At 62.4% G+C, this 18,892-nt stretch overlaps 2 protein-coding genes across 5 annotated transcripts in view, besides 3 other annotated features; one reads left to right on the top strand and one right to left on the bottom strand.

The window, feature by feature from the left end:
• Positions 1-4,282, bottom strand: part of HAUS7 (HAUS augmin like complex subunit 7) — a 47,798-nt gene extending 43,516 nt beyond the window's left edge. For all 3 annotated transcript variants that reach the window (NR_073156.2, NR_169631.1, NM_001385483.1), the window contains exon 1: positions 4,191-4,282. The gene's annotated coding sequence lies outside the window, so the exon portion shown is untranslated. The remainder of the gene's footprint in view (positions 1-4,190) is intronic.
• Positions 167-739: an enhancer, noted in NCBI's record as "H3K4me1 hESC enhancer chrX:152756808-152757380 (GRCh37/hg19 assembly coordinates)". NCBI's record gives its function as "activates a minimal SCP1, AML or CMV promoter by ChIP-STARR-seq in naive H9 embryonic stem cells {active_cell/tissue: H9 hESC(naive)}" and the evidence as "EXISTENCE:reporter gene assay evidence [ECO:0000049][PMID:30033119]".
• Positions 3,797-18,363, top strand: BGN (biglycan). 2 transcript variants are annotated; one of them, NM_001711.6, is made up of 8 exons: positions 3,797-3,930; positions 13,438-13,686; positions 14,055-14,167; positions 14,680-14,893; positions 15,346-15,456; positions 15,647-15,740; positions 15,864-16,002; positions 17,065-18,363. In NM_001711.6, exons 2-8 carry the CDS (start codon positions 13,449-13,451, stop codon positions 17,260-17,262), a joined length of 1,107 nt encoding a protein of 368 aa, NP_001702.1. In that variant the 5' UTR covers positions 3,797-3,930; positions 13,438-13,448; the 3' UTR covers positions 17,263-18,363. The 2 variants fall into 2 exon arrangements, with proteins under 2 accessions (NP_001702.1, XP_016885213.1); XM_017029724.3 differs by lacking the exon at positions 3,797-3,930 and having other exon boundaries at positions 13,434-13,686.
• Positions 16,255-16,354: an enhancer, noted in NCBI's record as "active region_30035". NCBI's record gives its function as "activates an Ori minimal core promoter by ATAC-STARR-seq in GM12878 lymphoblastoid cells {active_cell/tissue: GM12878}" and the evidence as "EXISTENCE:reporter gene assay evidence [ECO:0000049][PMID:35858748]".
• Positions 16,435-16,484: an enhancer, noted in NCBI's record as "active region_30036". NCBI's record gives its function as "activates an Ori minimal core promoter by ATAC-STARR-seq in GM12878 lymphoblastoid cells {active_cell/tissue: GM12878}" and the evidence as "EXISTENCE:reporter gene assay evidence [ECO:0000049][PMID:35858748]".

An 18,892-nucleotide genomic window follows, 5' to 3' on the forward strand; every position in this document is an offset into this window, starting at 1 on the left:
ACAAGCAGCCCACCTCTGTAGGGGACCCCTGCATAAGAGGCCACCTCCCAGGCTCCTAGGCTCTGCCCTCTAGGACTCACACCACCCGCCAGTATTTCATGCCCAAATGGGACCAGAGAGCTCACAGCCTGCCCTCTGGGCGCCCCCACCCTGCTTCTCTCCTGGGCCTCCCTGCTGTAGCTTTGAAGACAGGGCACAAACAGCTGCAAGCCAGCTGTGGGGGACAGGCTGCAGCTGACTCCAGGTCCTCTTCCCCACACTGGCCAAGGAGATGGCAGCTGGCTTAGATCCCTGCGCCCTGCCTCCCCTCCTCCCAGCCCCCTTCTTCCGTGGCCCTCTCCCTCCCTCAGACATGTCCTTGTCCCATCCTTCCGTCCCATGGCTGCCGCCCCACCTGCTACCTTCCAGCAGCCGTCCTGGGCGCTGTCCCAGGCAGGCTGGGGTGGCAGCTGCCTGATGAGGCCTAGACCAGAGTTAGGCTCAGAGCAGGGAGACCACAGTGTGGCCTGGGGCCCTGTGCAGGGGCAACTGCCAGGGCAGGACAGCTTTCCCTGCAGGGAAGCCTGAGCAGGCTGCCCAGGGCTGCCCTCCCCACGCAGCTGAGGGGGTTGGGCTCCTTGTCAGGTGGAGAGAGCTGAGCTCTCGGCTCCATCCGGCAGGAGAAGGGGTCTCCCGGGCTGGGATGCAAGGCAAGGCTGGTGCCAGCAGGACCTTCTGGCCCTCTACAGCCTTTTGGGGGAAGCATCCCAGCTAGGGCCTAGGGGGCCTGTGCAGTGGCATCCCAGGGTCACATACAGGCCGTGCTGGAAGGGGCCGGGTTCTGCTTCCCCCACCTCCTGCTCCCTGTCTGCCGCGGGTTCCTGGGGAGCTAAGACAGCTGTGTGTCCGCCTCCTCCCCAGGATCCCTGAGGGCCTCAGGAAATGCCTGCTCTTCCTTCCTGCCTTGCGCCCCCCGTGCCTGCCTTCCCCCTGCTTCCCCCTGCCTCCTCCCAGCCCTGAGAGGCCAGAAGGGCAGAAGGCTGCCCGCCCGCCAGCTCTGCTCGCTAGCAAGGAAGCACTGTTCCTAGAGCACTTCAGCTGGGATCAAAGTACCTTCTGCGCTGCAGAGAGAGCCCAGGCCTGAGGAGGGGGGAGTGGGAGGGGGAGCAGAAGGGGGAGGCCCTAGGACTGAGGTACTGCCTGTCTGGTCTGGGAGTGGCCCCCAAATTAGAGGGCCAGGCCGAGTGACTCAGTGGGCCCTAGCCAGGCCGAGTGACTCGGTGGGCCCCGGGCCGGGCGTGCAGTTATGGCTTATTGCAGACTGCAAACCACAGATACAAAAACCTTCCAGGTACAAGGACCGTATTTATATGAGTATTGCCCCCAGAAGCAGCCCCCAACTTCAGGTAAGAGCTGCAAGGTGCATGCATAATGTGTCTCCCCCAAGCAGGGTGTCGCCTCATCGCCACTTCCAAGCCCCCATCCAGGAACATGCCTGGCTGAGACCTGAGGGTGAGGTCGGTGCAGGGCCGGACTGCAGCGCCGCCTGGCTCCCCTGTGTCTCCCCACACCCCCCCGCACGTGTGCTCTTCCTTCCACCGGCAACTTCCCTCTTCCCTACTGGTCTGCTCCAGGTCACCTCCTCCAGGTAGCCCTCCCGAGCCTCTGGCACTGTGCATGGCCCTGCGCCCCCACGGTATTCAGAGCTGTTTCACCCCCACTGGGACTCCTGGAGGCTGAGGCCCTGAGTGACAGCTCCTGGGTTCTCAGTCCCCAAGCAGTGCAGGAAGGTACTGGGTACCAGCACCTCGGGCAGCAGGCATGCCTTGAGTGGGTTTCTCCTTTTTTCTGAAACGGCTTTACTGAGAGTGGCTGTGCTTACCACACGATTTGCGCATTGAGCACGTACAAGGCAAGGGCTTTTATATGGTCTATTCACAGAACTGTGCAACCATCACTCAGTCGATTGTAGAACATTTTCATCACCTCAAAAAGAAAACCCATACCTTTAGGTACCACCCCTCTAGCACCCACTGCCCACAAATCCGCTTTCTGTCCCCACAGATGAGCCTAGTGTGGACATTTCAAATGAATGGAACCAGAGGCTCTGCGGCCTTTTGCGACTGGCTGCTGTCACTGAGCGGAATGTTTCCAAATGCTTCTCTCTCCACCCAGACTGCTAGTCAGGCTTCGCTGCCTGTCCCGCTCTCTACCGACATATTTCTCCACGAATGAGTTGGCAGTGGGGGAGGGAAAGAGGGTGGGACAGAGATGAGACCAGGCTGCCAAGAGTCGGACGCTGAGGCTGGGCAAAAGGTAAAACACACAAACCTGCCGAAAGACAAGCCATCTCCTTTGTCTGGAAAGGGCATATGTGGTCTCCAATCTCCTCATTCCAACCATGAAATCAAGAGAGAACCAGGGTTACCAGCCTGGCCCCTGGTTTCCCACGTCTCTCTTCTCCCTGGCCCAGTCTAGAAGCTTCTTGCAGGCAGGTACCACAGTTTGGTCAAGGTGCCATGCGTCCCAGGTCCTAGCCAGGCCCTGGGCTGCCGCTGGTGAACAGGAAGGGGGTCTGTGCCCTGCCATGCCCCCAGGTAGAGCTCCCCTGGGAGCATCCTCCCTGGCCTGGGACCTCCCAGACCCCACCCCCCGGTTGAGTGATGGCACTGCCAGGGGTTGAAGACCCTCAGCCCTCGACGTTGTCCTCTCTCCATTGGATGCCGCCTCTCTCTAGCCACCCCTCTCTCCCTCTCTGCCCCTTCGAGCTTTTTCTCTCAATATGCAATTTTCTCTTTTGGTCTTCCGCACTCTTGGCCCCCAGTTCTATTGCAGATCTGTTTCTCACTCCATCTAAACTCTTACCCCTGTGTCTCAGGAGCTGCTCTTGCTGAGGGAAGAAGGGGACACTACGGGACAGGGGGGCAGTGTCGTACTAAGGACCTGGGCTCTAGCCACTGGAGGAACTGGACTCATTTGGGCCCTCAGGAAGCGGCTGAGTCTTGGTGGGGTAACCCGGTTAGCCCCCGTAAGTGACCAGCACAGGGCTGAGCCCAGAGGAAGTGGCCACCCACAGAGTGGTTCTCATGTCCGAGGGGACCTGCAGGGATTGAGCAAGAAGACTGACTCGCTGGATCCTTCGTCTCTGAATCAGTTCAGGGCAGGCAAGCTGGGGAGCCCCCTGCCCCGTCCTGCCACCACCAGCCGGATCGGGCCCTCTTTTTAAGGGAAGAAAGTCTGGAGTGGAAGGGAGGGCACAGGGCGCCAGGAGCCTACATGAAGTCCTTCCAGAAATCCACAACAGCTACCTCTCTGATCCTGGAGAAACCACCTCCTTGCTTAGGCCCAAGCAGGTTCCTGGCAGGCTCAGGACCAAATTCCAGGGGCCACTCATGGGCCTAGCAGCCCAAGGCCGCCTCCCCCTCGTCTTTCTTCCATCTCTCTTTCCTCTGCCTGGCGAGATGCCAGCCAGCACCTCAGTGTCCCCATCTGGGCAGTGGAAAGTTTGACTCTCTGGGTCCTTGTTTGAGTGAGTGCGAGTGTGTCCGTTCCTTTGCTGTCTGCCCCAGGCGGGGGAGGGGGGGGGAGGTGGTGGGGGCGAGGGGGCGGGGGCTCAGCTAGTCCAGCCGTCTACAAGAAAATTGCTCCCTTTGAAGCTGCCAGGGGGGCCGGGAAGCCTGCCCCCTCCTGCTCGCCCGCCCTCTCCGCCCCACCAGCCCCCTCCCTCCTTTCCTCCCTCCCCGCCCTCTCCCCGCTGTCCCCTCCCCGTCGGCCCGCCTGCCCAGCCTTTAGCCTCCCGCCCGCCGCCTCTGTCTCCCTCTCTCCACAAACTGCCCAGGAGTGAGTAGCTGCTTTCGGTCCGCCGGACACACCGGACAGATAGACGTGCGGACGGCCCACCACCCCAGCCCGCCAACTAGTCAGCCTGCGCCTGGCGCCTCCCCTCTCCAGGTAGGGCTGGCTTCAAGCTGCCTCCTCAGCAACCCAGAGATGCCCCTGGCTCTGCTGCCTCCGCTGTCCCAAGCCCTGGTCCTGCTGTCCCCAGTGCCGCGAGGGTGTCCACAGATTTCCCCGGTGCTCTCTGTAGGCTGCTGATCCACGCCCCTTCATCGCCACCCTGCGGCCCCCTTGGTCCCTGTCAGGCTTCTGCCTCGTCTCGCCGCCCTCCAGGCACCTTTCCCTCACCCCTTCCTCTCCCTCTCCCTTCTGACCTTGCTCTGCTTCATCCACCTCTTGTCTCTCTGCCTCCCGCTCGGGGTCCGTCTTCTTGGCTACCACCCTAGAGCGTGGCTGGGTGACTGGTACCCCAGCTTTGCCAATGGCCCTGTTTCATCATTGCAAGTCCCAGGCGCATGCTCCACTCCCTCAGCCTCGCTCTGCCCAGGCGCCTCCTTGCTCCAGGGCTTGGCGCCTGGCCCGGGTTGGGTCGGATCGGGGAGGACCGCCCAGCGCCCACCGAGCTCAGCACCCAGGAGCAGTCCTCCGCTGCACTGCCTGAGGCCAGTCCTTGGCATGGGCTGAAAGACTTAGTTTCCCAGGCACACCCCAGGCACCCTGCCCAGATGTTCCTCGCTCGCTCACCCCCAGGTTAATGCTCTGCCTCTACATCCTCTGTGAGAAGTCTGGGTCCTGGGAGCCCTGGCTGCAAGGGCCCTGACTGGGGGTGCCTGGGTGGCTCAGCCCTGTCTGTTTCCAGGACCCCCTTGGACTGGGACTCAGAATGGGTGTGGAGGGGAAGGAGAGAAAATCAGGCAACTGTGCCATGCTCCCCAGGGCGGACCTGGCTTGGGGTCCCAGAGGGGCCTGCCAAGGGACCCAGGAGAGGGAGCGAGAGAGTGCCCTGGAAGGCCCACGGAGGGGAGCGCCCCCTCACTGCTCCATGGGCGGGGCTGGGTGCCTGAGCGCCTGCTGAGCAGAGCAGGGGGCCCAGGGATCTGCAGGGCACAGGGTACATCAGTCTCCAGTGGTCTGTCTTGGTGGGCAGGCCTCTCTCCTGCTGTCCTGGCTGCCAGACTGCTCAGGTCCCATCCTCAGGGGGTCCTGTTTCTGGGCCCTCGCCCCTCCCTGGCCTGCCAGCTCTCTGCCCTATAGCAACTAATTGGAACTGAGACAAGCTGGAGATGCTCAGCCCCCCTGCCCCCGTGCCAGAAAGGCTCCCGGGGACCAGCGCCCAGGGGTGCGGGTGAGCACCTCCTGGTGACACCCAGCCGCCGGTGCCAGCCGCACCCCAGGAGAGCTGGTGTATGAGCATGGATGTCTTGGTGCGGAGCATGCCCATGTATGGCCACTGTGGGCCAGCATGGTGAGCCTTTGAGGGCAAGCCCGTGTGGGTATATTGAAAGGAAGATGCAGGGCTGCCTCCAAGCCACCAGGGCTGGGCGGTGGGAGCAGGTTGCGAGCCAGGGAGCAGAGAGGGCTCCCATGGCAAGCTGGCCAGCTGTGGGTGGCAGCCCTGGCCTCCCTGGCCCACCTTCAAGCCCCAAGGACCCGTACGGCAGTGGGCATTAACCCTACCAACGCATAGATGGGGAGTCTGGGAAAGGAAGGGGGGTGTTTCCAAGGCAAGAATGAGTTTCCTGTCTTTAGCAACATTCCAGAGTCACTCAAACAAAGCTATAGCGTGTCCCTTCCAGTGACAGCGCCAAGTCCCCAGAGGAGGGGTTTGTAATGAGTTCACACTTGACAGTTAGCACTCAGAGCCTTCAGCAAGGGCTTCTGAGTCCTTGCCACCCCGTATAGAGGTGGGATGAGGACCTCCCCACCTGCCGTCTCCTGTGCTTCCCGGGCCCACCCCCCACCCCCCACCCCCCAGCATCTCCAGCCTGCCCGGGAGTCACATGTCCTCGGCCCACAGAATCCCCAGCACACGCCCCACCCACAGGCCTAGCCCCAGCCCTGGGGTCCCTGGCACCCCACCTGCCAGGGCCCCTCCCCTGCCTTGCTCACCCCCCAACACCCCTGCTTGTCGGAAATGTCTTCCCATGCCCACCACGACCCCCTCCCACTCATCTGTGGGCCGGAGAGCTTGGTCCCTGCCGCACGTTGCCCCCCTAGCATCCAGGCCCACCACCGAGCCCCCGACAGGCCTGGGAGCCCCACTGGTGGGTGGGGACCCACCAGCTGGGGGTCTTGCTCACACCGAGGGGCTGGGGGTGGCGGTGGCTTTCCCAGGGCACCCTGCCTTGGGCTGCAGGCCGCTGGGTGGGCACCGGCTCCCTCGGAAGGCAGCGCAACCCGGGATCCTGCCGGCCCTGGCCCCCACCCTGCCGACCGGGCCTGGGGCGATCAGTGCCCCAGCTCCTGTCCTCTTCTGCTCAGATGCTGGGTTGGGAGATCAGGGGCCACAGCTCGGCCACTCAGAGCCCTTTCCGCAAGTCTTAGAGGGACCAGCTGTGGGGTGTGTGCAGAGGGGCTGCGCTGTGGGGAGGGCGCATGGCTCAGTCCTCCTGGCCTGAGGCCCGCCTAGCCTAAGTGGCCTCCAGGACCCATGGCCAGGCCCTTCTGCAGCCTTCCAGAAAGAACCAGCTTCCCAGGGTTCCCTGGGGAAGGCCTGGGGCCACCTCCTCTGGAGGGGTGGGGCCTGTGCTTCATTCCTCCTTCCCCAGGTCCCCTTCCAGGCCAGAAGATCCCCTCCACCACTTGAATCCCACAGCCAGAAGCCCCTTCTGGGACTCTAGACTCCTGGGAACCATCCCAGCTGCCCCCTTCGCTGTTTCGCTGTTTGCCTTCTTCCCCTGCCCCGTCATGGCTCTAGGTCAGAGCAGCCTCTGGGGTGGCTATGGAGGGGCCACCAGCCTTGGCTCTTCCGAGGACTGCAGAACCCTCCCACTCCCAGCTTCCCACCTGCGCAGCTCTGATCCCAGCCAGCCCAAGGGGCAGGGTCAGGTCCCGGCTCCCTGGCAGGCCTGGTGAAGGTGCTGCCCATTCCCATGAGGCTCATCTCTGAGGCTTAGGGGCCTGGGGCTCTAGCCAGCCTTCTTGCATGGAACTCTCCTGGTCCACTGCATCTTAAGCCTGAGCTCCACTTAAACACTGGCCTGAGATAAGCTGGAGGACCAGGGGCCCAACGGACTCTGTGGGCCTCTTGAACTTGCCTCTGCTGGCCATCCCAGTCCTGTTTGGTCCCTGAGGTGTTCAGATGGGCCAAGGGGAGCATGGCGGGCAGACTCCTGGGTGGCCAGAAGATTAGAAGGCAGCCCTGTCCCTGGAGGCAGGGGAAGTCTGGGAAGCCAGTGTGACTTCTATCCTCTGGAAGTCTGAGTCCCTGCTTGGCCTTGACTGCCATCCCATGGTTCTTGGAGGCTGCCCTCATGCAAAGAGACACACACCCATGGGAGCCCAGCAGTCCCAGGAGCCTGAAGCTAAGCAGGCTGTGGGCCACCCTGGCTGGCTGAAGGAGGCTAATCCCAGCCCAGCCTGAGCCCCCGGCAGAGAGCGGGTTGCGGCAGGGAGGGGCTGCAGGAAACCTTCCCCTCCCCTCCTGGCCTTGGTGGGCCTGTACCAGGGAGGGAGGGAGGCAGGGCCCCAGGCTCTGGGGGGCAGGCCGGGAACACCTTCCCTGGGGCCCTGAAGTGCTCGCCTGGGGAGACGATGGCTTTTCCAGGAGACTCCCTGCAGACAGAGGCAGAGGTGAGAGGCTGGGCGGGGGCTGCCCTGCTGGCTGTGTTGGGGCTGAGGAGGGGCTTCTGGATCTGTGGGCCATAGGGAGCTACTGATGGTCCTCAGAAGGGCCATGCTTCCAGGGGAGCCCCCTGCACAGCCCCGAGAGTGTGAAGCGTGTCAGCTTTGGGGCCTGTGGCACTGTGTGCATTGGGAGAGGGTGGGTCCAGACATGGGGGCAAGGACACAGACGGACAGACAGACAGTGTGTGCAGCCCCAGCTCTGCTGTTTCCTCACCGTGTGGCCTTGGGCAAGAGTTTGGGGCCAACTTCCTGAGCCTCAGTTTACCCCTTCATCAAGTTCTAAGAGCATTGCTTCCTTCTTATAGTCAACGGGGGACGGCAGGATGCTAAGTAAAGAAATCACATGAGTCCCCTGCTCTGCCTCTGAGAGGTGACAGCATCCTCCCTTTTCCTTGGAGACTCTAGCAGGAGGCCCCGGATCTCTTCGGAGAGTGGGAGGGGGCAGCAGTAGTCCGTGTGCAGAGGACCAGGAGCGCACAGTGGGAAGGGCTGAGTCCCGCACTCCGCCGACTGTGGGGACAGGCTGGACCTTGACATGGGCGCCACAGGCTGCAAAGGGCTGGCACAGAGAGGTGGGAGGTGGCTGGGCGCATCAAGGGAGAACTCCACCCTTGTCGCCACCCTGCCAGAAAACCTCTGGAAAGGATTTGAGCAGCAGATGAGCCGGGGTTTCCCAGCCCCTCCACACGTGGCTGCAAGGGGAGCAGACGCCCAAGCGTGGCTGCCTGAAGGGCATGCTCCGGCAACGGCAGGGGCTTGGAATGTGGCACAAGGTCCACCCCTCCCCACTCCAGCCCCCAGCCCCTCAGGCAGCCACTCCCACAGATGAACGCACACGCCGGGCTTTGGCAAGGCCAGGGAGGGTACACATCCCCTCTCTGGTTGATGCCCAAGTACAGGCTGGAGCCATCGGCGGGGAGGGACTGGTGGACTGGGGCCTGGGAGAGTGGCAGGGGGCAGGCCGGGTGTCAGCGGGGGCACAAGCACCAGGCTGCTGGTTGAAACTGGGCCCAAAAGGCTTTGGAGGCCAGAGGGGAGGGGAGGAAGGACACAGTCCCGGGGACCCCGCAGGGCTGCGTGGAAGGTGGCACATGTGTCAGAGTTCAGGTCGGGTTGCTCAGGGGGGCAGACGCCCAGGGCTGAGGCTGCGGAGACAGCATCCGGCGTCTGCCACTTGGCAGCTGTGAGCCACACCATCTGCAGGCGAGCTCCCAGGGCCCGCCAGACCTCAAGCCCTGCTCCCGCCGCCCTTGGCCTGGCCTGAATGCCTGGCACGGACCCTCCATGTTCTCAGAGGCTGCCAACGCATCTTGTTTGGCTGTGACCTCGAGCAATCCAGTGCAGAGGACTGCGCTAGCTTTCAGAGGGGCAGACAAGGAGGGCCCTATTGGGGTGGTGGCGGAGGCTCCAGGAAGCCCAGCCTCCTCCCTCACTCACACCTGCGGTCGCCAAACCTGGGGCTTATGCCATTGCCGCCCCTGTCCTTTGCTCTAAAGAGATGGTATCCAGGGAGCTCAGGGCACACTTTGGTGGGGCTTGAAACCCTCCCTGAAGTCCCTGAAGACACACCCAGAGAGGCCAATGAAGGGAAACTGAGGCCCAGAGGCCTCAGTTGTGGTGGTGGAGAGTTGAGGACTGGAGGGACTTGCTGTGGGTCTCACAGGATCTGACTATGGGGTATTCCTGCTTCCTGGGCTGGGGTCCCCGCCTGCCTTATCTATGTGTGGATATATGTGTATGTATGTGTATATGTATACATATGTATATGTGAATGTGTGTATGCATGTGTGTATAGATGTGTGCATGTATGTGTGTACATATGTGTATGCGTGTATACAGGTGTATATGTGCAGGTATGTATGTATGTATGTGTGCATGTATGCATGTGTGTGTGTGTGTACGTGTGTATAAATGTGTATGTGTGCGTGTGTGTGCATGTGTGTGCATGTGTGTATGTGTGCATGTGTGCATGTGTGTATACATGCATGCATGTGCGCATGTGGATGTACATGTGCATGTATGTGTATAGATGTGTGCATGAGTGTGTGTGCATCTGTGTATATATGTGTGTATATGTGTATCATATGTGTATGTGAATGTGTATACATGGGTATGCATGTGTGAGTGTCTAGGTGTGTGCATGTATATGTGTGTACATGTGTGTATAGGTGTGTGCACGTATATGTGTGGATGTGTGCATGTATGTGGATGCATGTGGATGTGTGTACATATGTGTTTTGTATAGGTGTGTGCATGTGTGTGTGCACGTGTGTACATATGTGTTTTGTATAGGTGTGTGCGTGTGCACGTGTGTGTATGTGAGCGTGTATGTGTGCATCTGTGTGTGTGTTTGTGTGTGTATGTGTGTACGTGTGTGTGTGTGCATGTTCTGGCAGGAGGGAGGGGCTTGGTGTGAGGTGGTGGGGAGAAGGCAGGGGCCAGGCTTTGGGAGGACAGCTGAGCCTATACTGCCAGGACCTCCCAAACTGCCACCCCCAGTCTTGGGCATTCAGGCTCTCACAGGCCCAGAGACATGGCTGGAGCCCTGTGGCTGAGGAGCACAGCTGAGAGCTCAGGCGGGGCCTGGAGGCGCCAAAGCTGAGTTCCAAGTCAGGCTGAGTGACTTGGGAGAAATCAGAGCCTCTCTCTCGGCCTTAGCTTTTGTGTCCATAAAATGGGGATACTCATCAGGCCAGCTCCAGGGGATCCTATCCTTCCCCCCAGGCTCCCCTGGCTCCCTCTGACTTCATGGGCCCCTTGCTGCCTCCTGTGGGCTCAGACACGGAGCCTGCCCCTTCCTCGGGAGAGGTCTCAGTTTTGTGCCAGTTCTTTGAGGGGAAATGAGGGATGTGCCGGGAAGCCTGCCCGGCCCCCGCCCCTCCAGCCTGCCCACTGCTTGGGCACAGCCATGAGCCATGGAAAACCAGCCAAACCTTGTCCTTCTGCCTCTGTCACGGGGCCCGGGTGTATGGGCCTTCCAGCCCTCAGCCTCCCTCCCCGCTCTGAGGGAACCTCTTCCCCTTGCCCCTTTCTCAGTCTCTTGGAGACCCCCCAGACATCCTACTGTATCAGGCAGCCTGCCTCCAGAGCCCTCGTTGCCCCACAGCTGGTCCCGGGAACCCGCCTGAGACCCCGATGGCCAGTCTTGCCGTGACTGGCCTGCCCTGTGCCTGTGCCCCCTGCCCTGGTGGAGGGCCCGATTCCCTAACAGGAGGGCCTGCAGGGAAGTCCCAGCTCCTGGGGAGACCCCTTGCCCCGGGGCAGGAGTCCCTGTAGAGTCCTCCTCCAGGCCAATGCGTGGGTCCTGGGGGGCTCCAAGCTGGCCATGGTCAGATGGTCCTCTGTCCCCTCGGCCTTCCCCAGCCCCTCCCCACAGCCTCCCGTAGGCCCAGCCGGACCACCCCAACCCTACCTGTCCAGGTGGACTGCCCACCCTGGAGCTTGCCAGGGCTCTGGCGGGGTGTCCCAGCCCTGACTCACTCTCCCTGGGAGGTAGCGGCTTTGGCAGGGGCATCGGCAAGGAGGGGCAGGGCAGTCTCCTCCCTCCCCCACTCCATCTTGCTCTCCTGCTTCCACCCTGCCCTTCCTGTTCTCTCCCACTGCTCCTCCTCCTCCTCCTCCTTCTGCCCCCGGGTGTCCACTGGCACTGGGAGAGGGTCCTACAGCGGCAGCAGGCATCGGAGGCCCTGCCCTGCCCTGGAGGAAGGGAAACACCATCCAGGTAGGTGAGTGTTGAGCCTTCTCCCTACTTGGGGGCCAAGACCCTCCGGGCGGTTCCCCTAGGTTCTGCTGGGCCGGCCTGAGGCTGGCAGGCCCTGGGCTGCAACTGTGGGATCTCAAGGCTCAAAAGAATGAGGGAGGCTCGGTGCTGCCCCAGCAGGGGCCTCCTGGTGACCCCAGGGGTCAGCATGAAGTCCAGCTCCACATGAGGGGGAAGCTGAGCTAAGCCTTGGGCTCCGACTCCCACTTTGCAGTGTGGCCCAGGGCCTGTGGGCTCAGGAGGGCTCCGGGGCTGGCTGCGGAAAGGCCACTCCACAGGCCTGGCAGCCGCTATAGCCACAGCCTCACCACAGGCCCCTCTGTCCACAGGTGTGGGAGGGCGCATGGGTGGCTTCTAGGGGGGATGCCAATGCAGGGGGGACGCGTGCCAGCAGATGCTCCCTGGAGCACCCGAGGAGCTGCATGGGGGCGACAGGACAGGCCTCCATCCCAACCCTCTCCTGGGCTTGTGCTCAGACCCAACCTGGCCCTGAAGTGGCCTCAGGCCCCCGGCCCGCTGGTAGCAAGGACTCCAAAGCGGCAGCCCCGGGCAGCCAGCCCAGCCCCCAGGGCAACTGGGGAAGCATCGGGCAGGGCGGGGCTGCTCATAGGGTGCTGGCCTGGGGGCAGAGCCCCCACCTCCCCACGGCCTCCTTAGACCCCTGCAACCAGCAGCTGGGCTTAGGGGGCTCACCTCGCTCTGCTGGAGCCCCAGACAGCCCCTCCCCAGCTAGTACTGGCCCTAAGTGAGGGTCTCCTGGGCGTGCGACTGCTTCAGGTCTGCCAGAGGCCCCTGCTGCCCAGCTGGGCTCCCCATCTCCAGATGCACCGAGGGCCACCCCAGGCTGGGTGGCAAGCAGGGCAGGCATGTTTATTCCCACTTAACAGATGGGGAAGGTGAGGCTGGGATGAGACCTGGGCCTTTGCTGGAGAGTCAGGGTGGATGAAGTGGTGAGAGAGGCAGGGCTCCAGCCTCTTCCTGTAGGGCACATTCCCGGCTGCCTCTGGACGGGAGACCGTGTCTGATGAGGAGGGAGGAGGCAAGCAGAGGTGGGTGCTGGGGGCAGGCTCGGGCAGGGCTGCTTCGCCTCCACTCCCACTCGCCGCCTCGGCCTGGGGGGCCTCAGGCAAGCCTGACCCTGCCCTGCCACCCTGGCGGCAGCCTGCTCCCCTGGGGGGCCTCTCTGGGCTGCCGAGGCTGTGGGCAGGGAGGAAGGGTGCGAGCAGATCTGGGAGCTCCAGGGCTGTTTGGGCCAAGGCGGTGTGGGCGGGGGGCTGGGGCGGGTGGTCCAGAGGAGGAAGCCAAGGCCCAGGGGCAGTGTTGGGGGCGCCACGGCCTCCACCTCGGGGGCCTCCACTCAGTGCTGCCTCAGCCAACTTTACCCACGGCCTCCAAGGATACCCCCTCTTTCTCCGCCCTGCCTCCCTACCTTGGCCTTAGAGGGTCTCTGAGAAACGTGGGCAGGGTGGAGGGAGGAAGCAACTCAGAGTCGCCGCACTCAACTAACTTCATCCACGCTGCCCTGAGCCCAGAACTCAAAGGAAGGATCGGCCCGGGTAGGAGGCCACAGTGATGTCCCCAAAAGTGAATTCTTCAAAGCCCTTGAGGGCCAATGGCTAGGATTCCTCCTCCACCTCCTCCACGCAGCCTCATGGACGCCCCCGCCCTAAAGCAGGCTTCTGGCAGACTCAGAGGCGTGGGGGCCTGCAGACTTGCTGATGAGGAGACATTTCATCGCCTGATTAAGCCAAGTCCTGTCCGGGATGGGGAGGGGGGTAGTGGAAGCAGTGAAGGGAGTGGAGTGGAGGGGGCACCCTCCTTGCCAGCAGCATCCACTCCCTTCCTGCCTGGAGCCCTCTGCCCACACTCCGCCCTCTCCGCCTCCCGCTCCAGGGTCTGGCCGTCCCTGGTGAGGGATGGGAACGCAGTGCCACCACACACGCGGAACACCAGCCCCTGGCATGGAGAAGACAGGTGGGTGCTGGTGCTGATGATCCCCTCGCCTCTTCCCCCAGGTCCATCCGCCATGTGGCCCCTGTGGCGCCTCGTGTCTCTGCTGGCCCTGAGCCAGGCCCTGCCCTTTGAGCAGAGAGGCTTCTGGGACTTCACCCTGGACGATGGGCCATTCATGATGAACGATGAGGAAGCTTCGGGCGCTGACACCTCGGGCGTCCTGGACCCGGACTCTGTCACACCCACCTACAGCGCCATGTGTCCTTTCGGCTGCCACTGCCACCTGCGGGTGGTTCAGTGCTCCGACCTGGGTTTGTCCCTGAGTGATGGGGAGCGGGGCATGCAGGGAGGCTCAGGTGCAGCCTGAGAGCCCCTTCTGAAGGGGACACATGCTGGTCCTGTGGGACGGTGGCGAGCATGATGTAAGTGTAGGAGGGGTCCAGCCGTCTGGCTGTGAGCTGTGCAGTTTGTGCCCACTTGTGGTGGCATCCCCGTGTGCCCGTCAGTGTCCCTGTGTGTGTGTCCCCGGTCCTCCCTACCAGTGGGGCTAGTCGGCTGGATGGCTCCAAGTTCATGCTGGTGATGGTGGTGGGGCCCCTAGGTCTCGAGTTCATGCTGGTGGTGGGGGTGGGGCCCCTAGGTCTCAAGTTCATGCTGGTGATGGGGGTGGGGCCCCTAGGTCTGAAGTCTGTGCCCAAAGAGATCTCCCCTGACACCACGCTGCTGGACCTGCAGAACAACGACATCTCCGAGCTCCGCAAGGATGACTTCAAGGGTCTCCAGCACCTCTACGTAAGGAGCTGGGAGGAACCAGCAGGCCTACAGCAGAGGGCAGGGGTCCGGGTGGGTGCATGTGCGTGGACGTGTGGGGTATGAGAGGGGTTCGGGGACTCGTGGGGCTTCAGGGTGAAGCCTGGAGCCAGCCGTGATGGGAGCTCCCGGGTTTGCGGCTCACTCATGTGGGTTTGAGCAACCACAGCTGCAGGACCGGATCGCTCAGTTCGGCTCCCTTCGTGGCTGAAAACGTTTCATCACGTCCACTCCTCCCAGCAACAGAGGAGAACGGATTTCATTGTAGCCAGTGTGCGTGTGAGGAAACTGAGGCTTGGAGCGGCAAGGCAGTGGTGGCACTGCTGGGGCTCAGGACCGGGCCTGGGTGCTGCCTCCTGCCCTGCACTCTGCTCACAAGCATGGACTGAACCTCCTCGAGGCCCAGTGGGCTGGGGAGGCACAGGAAGGCAGGAGAGAGGGGCGGGTGGGGTGGGGAGTCTGTGCCTTCACCTCCTCCGCCCACCCTGCTTCAGGCCCTCGTCCTGGTGAACAACAAGATCTCCAAGATCCATGAGAAGGCCTTCAGCCCACTGCGGAAGCTGCAGAAGCTCTACATCTCCAAGAACCACCTGGTGGAGATCCCGCCCAACCTACCCAGCTCCCTGGTGGAGCTCCGCATCCACGACAACCGCATCCGCAAGGTGCCCAAGGGAGTGTTCAGCGGGCTCCGGAACATGAACTGCATCGGTGAGCTGAGGGCCTCCCAGAACATTCCAGAGCCTTGTCTCGAGGCATGGGGAAGGGAGACCAAGGGATACCTTTAGAGGCTCAGTTCAAGAAAGAGTATGGTGAGAACGGTCAAAAGAAAATCCATGGATTTCTTGGCAAATCCTCCATGCAGGCGATCACCACGGCTAAAGAGAAGACTGGGCCAGAGGGGCCGGGTGGCTTCCGGGAGCCCCATCTTCATCTCTGGCACTCCTCCCTTTCCTCTTGCTGCCCCTGGAGCTAGCAGTCCTGGGGCTAGCAGTCCTGAACAGCTAGGAGTTTGCAATTAGCCCGGTAAATTAGCAGAACTGCTTTCAGGAGACGGGAGCAGCCGGCAGGTAGCAGGGCCCACCACACTGGCCCGGAAGTGACAGGACCCAGGGCTGTGCAGGGACCACCAGGCTCCCGGGCTAATGAGGTCTCTCCCCTAGAGATGGGCGGGAACCCACTGGAGAACAGTGGCTTTGAACCTGGAGCCTTCGATGGCCTGAAGCTCAACTACCTGCGCATCTCAGAGGCCAAGCTGACTGGCATCCCCAAAGGTAGGAAGCCCACTCTTCCTGCACGCCTGCCTGCCTCACCCCCAACAGCACAGATGGCCAGGGTGGGGGCTCTGGATGGGCCCGATCTACTCAGGGAAAGGCTCAACAGTCCCCTCCCGCCACCTGGGGCAGAGCTAGGGCCCCTGCCCTCAGCACCTGCATTCTCCCCTGTGCCCTCTTCTCCTGGCAGACCTCCCTGAGACCCTGAATGAACTCCACCTAGACCACAACAAAATCCAGGCCATCGAACTGGAGGACCTGCTTCGCTACTCCAAGCTGTACAGGTGAGGCCAGCAGGGCACCGCCCAAGGGTGATGCCAGAGTCCCTCAGTGCTGTGTGGCCCCTCGCGCCCAGCCCCCCATCCTTACCTCCAGCCTTTGAGTCCGTGTCATTCTCCCGCTCACAGGCTGGGCCTAGGCCACAACCAGATCAGGATGATCGAGAACGGGAGCCTGAGCTTCCTGCCCACCCTCCGGGAGCTCCACTTGGACAACAACAAGTTGGCCAGGGTGCCCTCAGGGCTCCCAGACCTCAAGCTCCTCCAGGTGAGAGCTGGGCATGCACAGCCAGGTTCCCTAAGGCTGGGCTGGGGGAGGCGTGTGTGTCCCCGGGCAGTCCCTCAGTCCCCTGGCCCTCCTTCCCGACCGGCTCTGGGCATCTGCAAGGGAGCGGTCCTGATGCTCCCAGCTGGTGCTGAGGAGGCAGGGAGCAGGGGCTCCATGGTGGATACCGAGCAAGGCAGCCTGGTAGCTCTTGGACCCGAGGGTCTCCAGGTGGGTCGGACACCAGAAAGATGTGGCAGAGTCCAGGGAGTCGAGAAACTGTGGGCGTGGGAGTGCACAGATCTGTGCCAAGACAGTGACCGCCCAGGGCAGGAAGTAGGCTGACGAGGGGGAGCAGGGTCTTGCCTGGGATTCTATCGGGAGCTTCCATCCCTGGCCTGGCCCGCAACCAGGTGGGTGATCTTGGTCTTGCCCAGCCCTGCTCCATCCACAAGTGTTTGGAGCACCCCCATCCGCACCAGCTGCGAGCCAGCACCGCGCAGGCCATGCCCATGCTGGGCCGAGTGCGCCCTCTAGTGGCCATTGTCATGTTCACCAGCACTGGGCTCCCAGCCCAACCCAGCAGGCGCCTCGCCTGCCCACCTCCGCTCCTCCCAGAGACAGCAAGACGGTGGCTCCAGAGAGTTGGAGGGGCTGCTAGAGGGCGAGCTCCTCTGCTGACTGGAAGAAAGAGGAGGGCATCCCAAGGGCTCTTTCTCCTCTCATGCCCCATGGAGTGTGAGGGTGCTCCCCCGAGGCTCAGGCCACCTTTCCTCCACCTCACACCACCAAACACACCTCTACCCCAGCCCCGCCCCCACATGTCCTCAACCTGACCCACCTGAGACCCTCATCCTTGTCCCTGGTCACATCCAGTGCCTTAATCCTGGCTGACACCCACACAAATAACACGCCCATGCCTTGGTTTGCTCCTCCCAACAACGGGGAGCCTCTGGTGTGGCCCTTGAAGTAGGGTGCAGAGGCAACAGCAAAATGCCTCCTGGAGGCAGCGGGCTTGGCGTGGAGGGAGGGAGGCCTGCCGTGACCCGGCCTCTCTGCCTTCAGGTGGTCTATCTGCACTCCAACAACATCACCAAAGTGGGTGTCAACGACTTCTGTCCCATGGGCTTCGGGGTGAAGCGGGCCTACTACAACGGCATCAGCCTCTTCAACAACCCCGTGCCCTACTGGGAGGTGCAGCCGGCCACTTTCCGCTGCGTCACTGACCGCCTGGCCATCCAGTTTGGCAACTACAAAAAGTAGAGGCAGCTGCAGCCACCGCGGGGCCTCAGTGGGGGTCTCTGGGGAACACAGCCAGACATCCTGATGGGGAGGCAGAGCCAGGAAGCTAAGCCAGGGCCCAGCTGCGTCCAACCCAGCCCCCCACCTCGGGTCCCTGACCCCAGCTCGATGCCCCATCACCGCCTCTCCCTGGCTCCCAAGGGTGCAGGTGGGCGCAAGGCCCGGCCCCCATCACATGTTCCCTTGGCCTCAGAGCTGCCCCTGCTCTCCCACCACAGCCACCCAGAGGCACCCCATGAAGCTTTTTTCTCGTTCACTCCCAAACCCAAGTGTCCAAGGCTCCAGTCCTAGGAGAACAGTCCCTGGGTCAGCAGCCAGGAGGCGGTCCATAAGAATGGGGACAGTGGGCTCTGCCAGGGCTGCCGCACCTGTCCAGACACACATGTTCTGTTCCTCCTCCTCATGCATTTCCAGCCTTTCAACCCTCCCCGACTCTGCGGCTCCCCTCAGCCCCCTTGCAAGTTCATGGCCTGTCCCTCCCAGACCCCTGCTCCACTGGCCCTTCGACCAGTCCTCCCTTCTGTTCTCTCTTTCCCCGTCCTTCCTCTCTCTCTCTCTCTCTCTCTCTCTCTCTTTCTGTGTGTGTGTGTGTGTGTGTGTGTGTGTGTGTGTGTGTGTGTGTCTTGTGCTTCCTCAGACCTTTCTCGCTTCTGAGCTTGGTGGCCTGTTCCCTCCATCTCTCCGAACCTGGCTTCGCCTGTCCCTTTCACTCCACACCCTCTGGCCTTCTGCCTTGAGCTGGGACTGCTTTCTGTCTGTCCGGCCTGCACCCAGCCCCTGCCCACAAAACCCCAGGGACAGCAGTCTCCCCAGCCTGCCCTGCTCAGGCCTTGCCCCCAAACCTGTACTGTCCCGGAGGAGGTTGGGAGGTGGAGGCCCAGCATCCCGCGCAGATGACACCATCAACCGCCAGAGTCCCAGACACCGGTTTTCCTAGAAGCCCCTCACCCCCACTGGCCCACTGGTGGCTAGGTCTCCCCTTATCCTTCTGGTCCAGCGCAAGGAGGGGCTGCTTCTGAGGTCGGTGGCTGTCTTTCCATTAAAGAAACACCGTGCAACGTGGCTCCGTGCGCTGCTCCTGTGGCGGCCTGGCCTCTCCGTGCCCCTCCTGGCCCTTGGGCTCCTTGCCCTCAGAAGAGGGGCCCCGTCACCCTCAGAAGAGGGGCCCCGTCACCCTCAGGTCTGGGCTAGCCCGGACTAGGGAGGTTTCCCCTCCCTTCTAGACACTTCCATGGCCCCAGCTGTCCTGAGACGCGGCTCCAGAATCCAACCAGGCCTGAATGGCACCTGCCCTCTCAGCGTGGAGCGTTTGCCAAGAGCACGCCGACTGCAGGGCGCCAGGCTAGAGCCTGGAAATCTAAGCGGGGCCCGGCCTGCCCAGCTCCATGGAGTCTAGGGTTCACAACGAGGCACCGCCAAAACCCAGGGGGTGACACAGGAGGGAAGGGGCCCAATGGAGCCAGGGCAGGGTGCTGTGTGCACCCACTTGCACTGGCCTGGCCTTGGCTCCCCTGCCAGCCCCCTGGCAGGTGACACTGTGTGTAGGCAGAGCCGAGCCTGGGCTGCAAGGCATTCCCACACACGCAGCATC

This window comes from Homo sapiens, chromosome X (assembly GCF_000001405.40).
Source record: "Homo sapiens chromosome X, GRCh38.p14 Primary Assembly".
NCBI lineage: Eukaryota > Metazoa > Chordata > Mammalia > Primates > Hominidae > Homo > Homo sapiens.

Coding starts and splice junctions, on each gene's coding strand:
- BGN (NM_001711.6), top strand. CDS start 13,449: ATGTGGCCCCTGTGGCGCCTCGTGTCTCTGCTGGCCCTGAGCCAGGCC. Junction 15,457..15,646: donor GCTGACTGGCATCCCCAAAG/GTAGGAAGCCCA, acceptor TTCTCCTGGCAG/ACCTCCCTGAGACCCTGAAT. Junction 15,741..15,863: donor CGCTACTCCAAGCTGTACAG/GTGAGGCCAGCA, acceptor TCCCGCTCACAG/GCTGGGCCTAGGCCACAACC.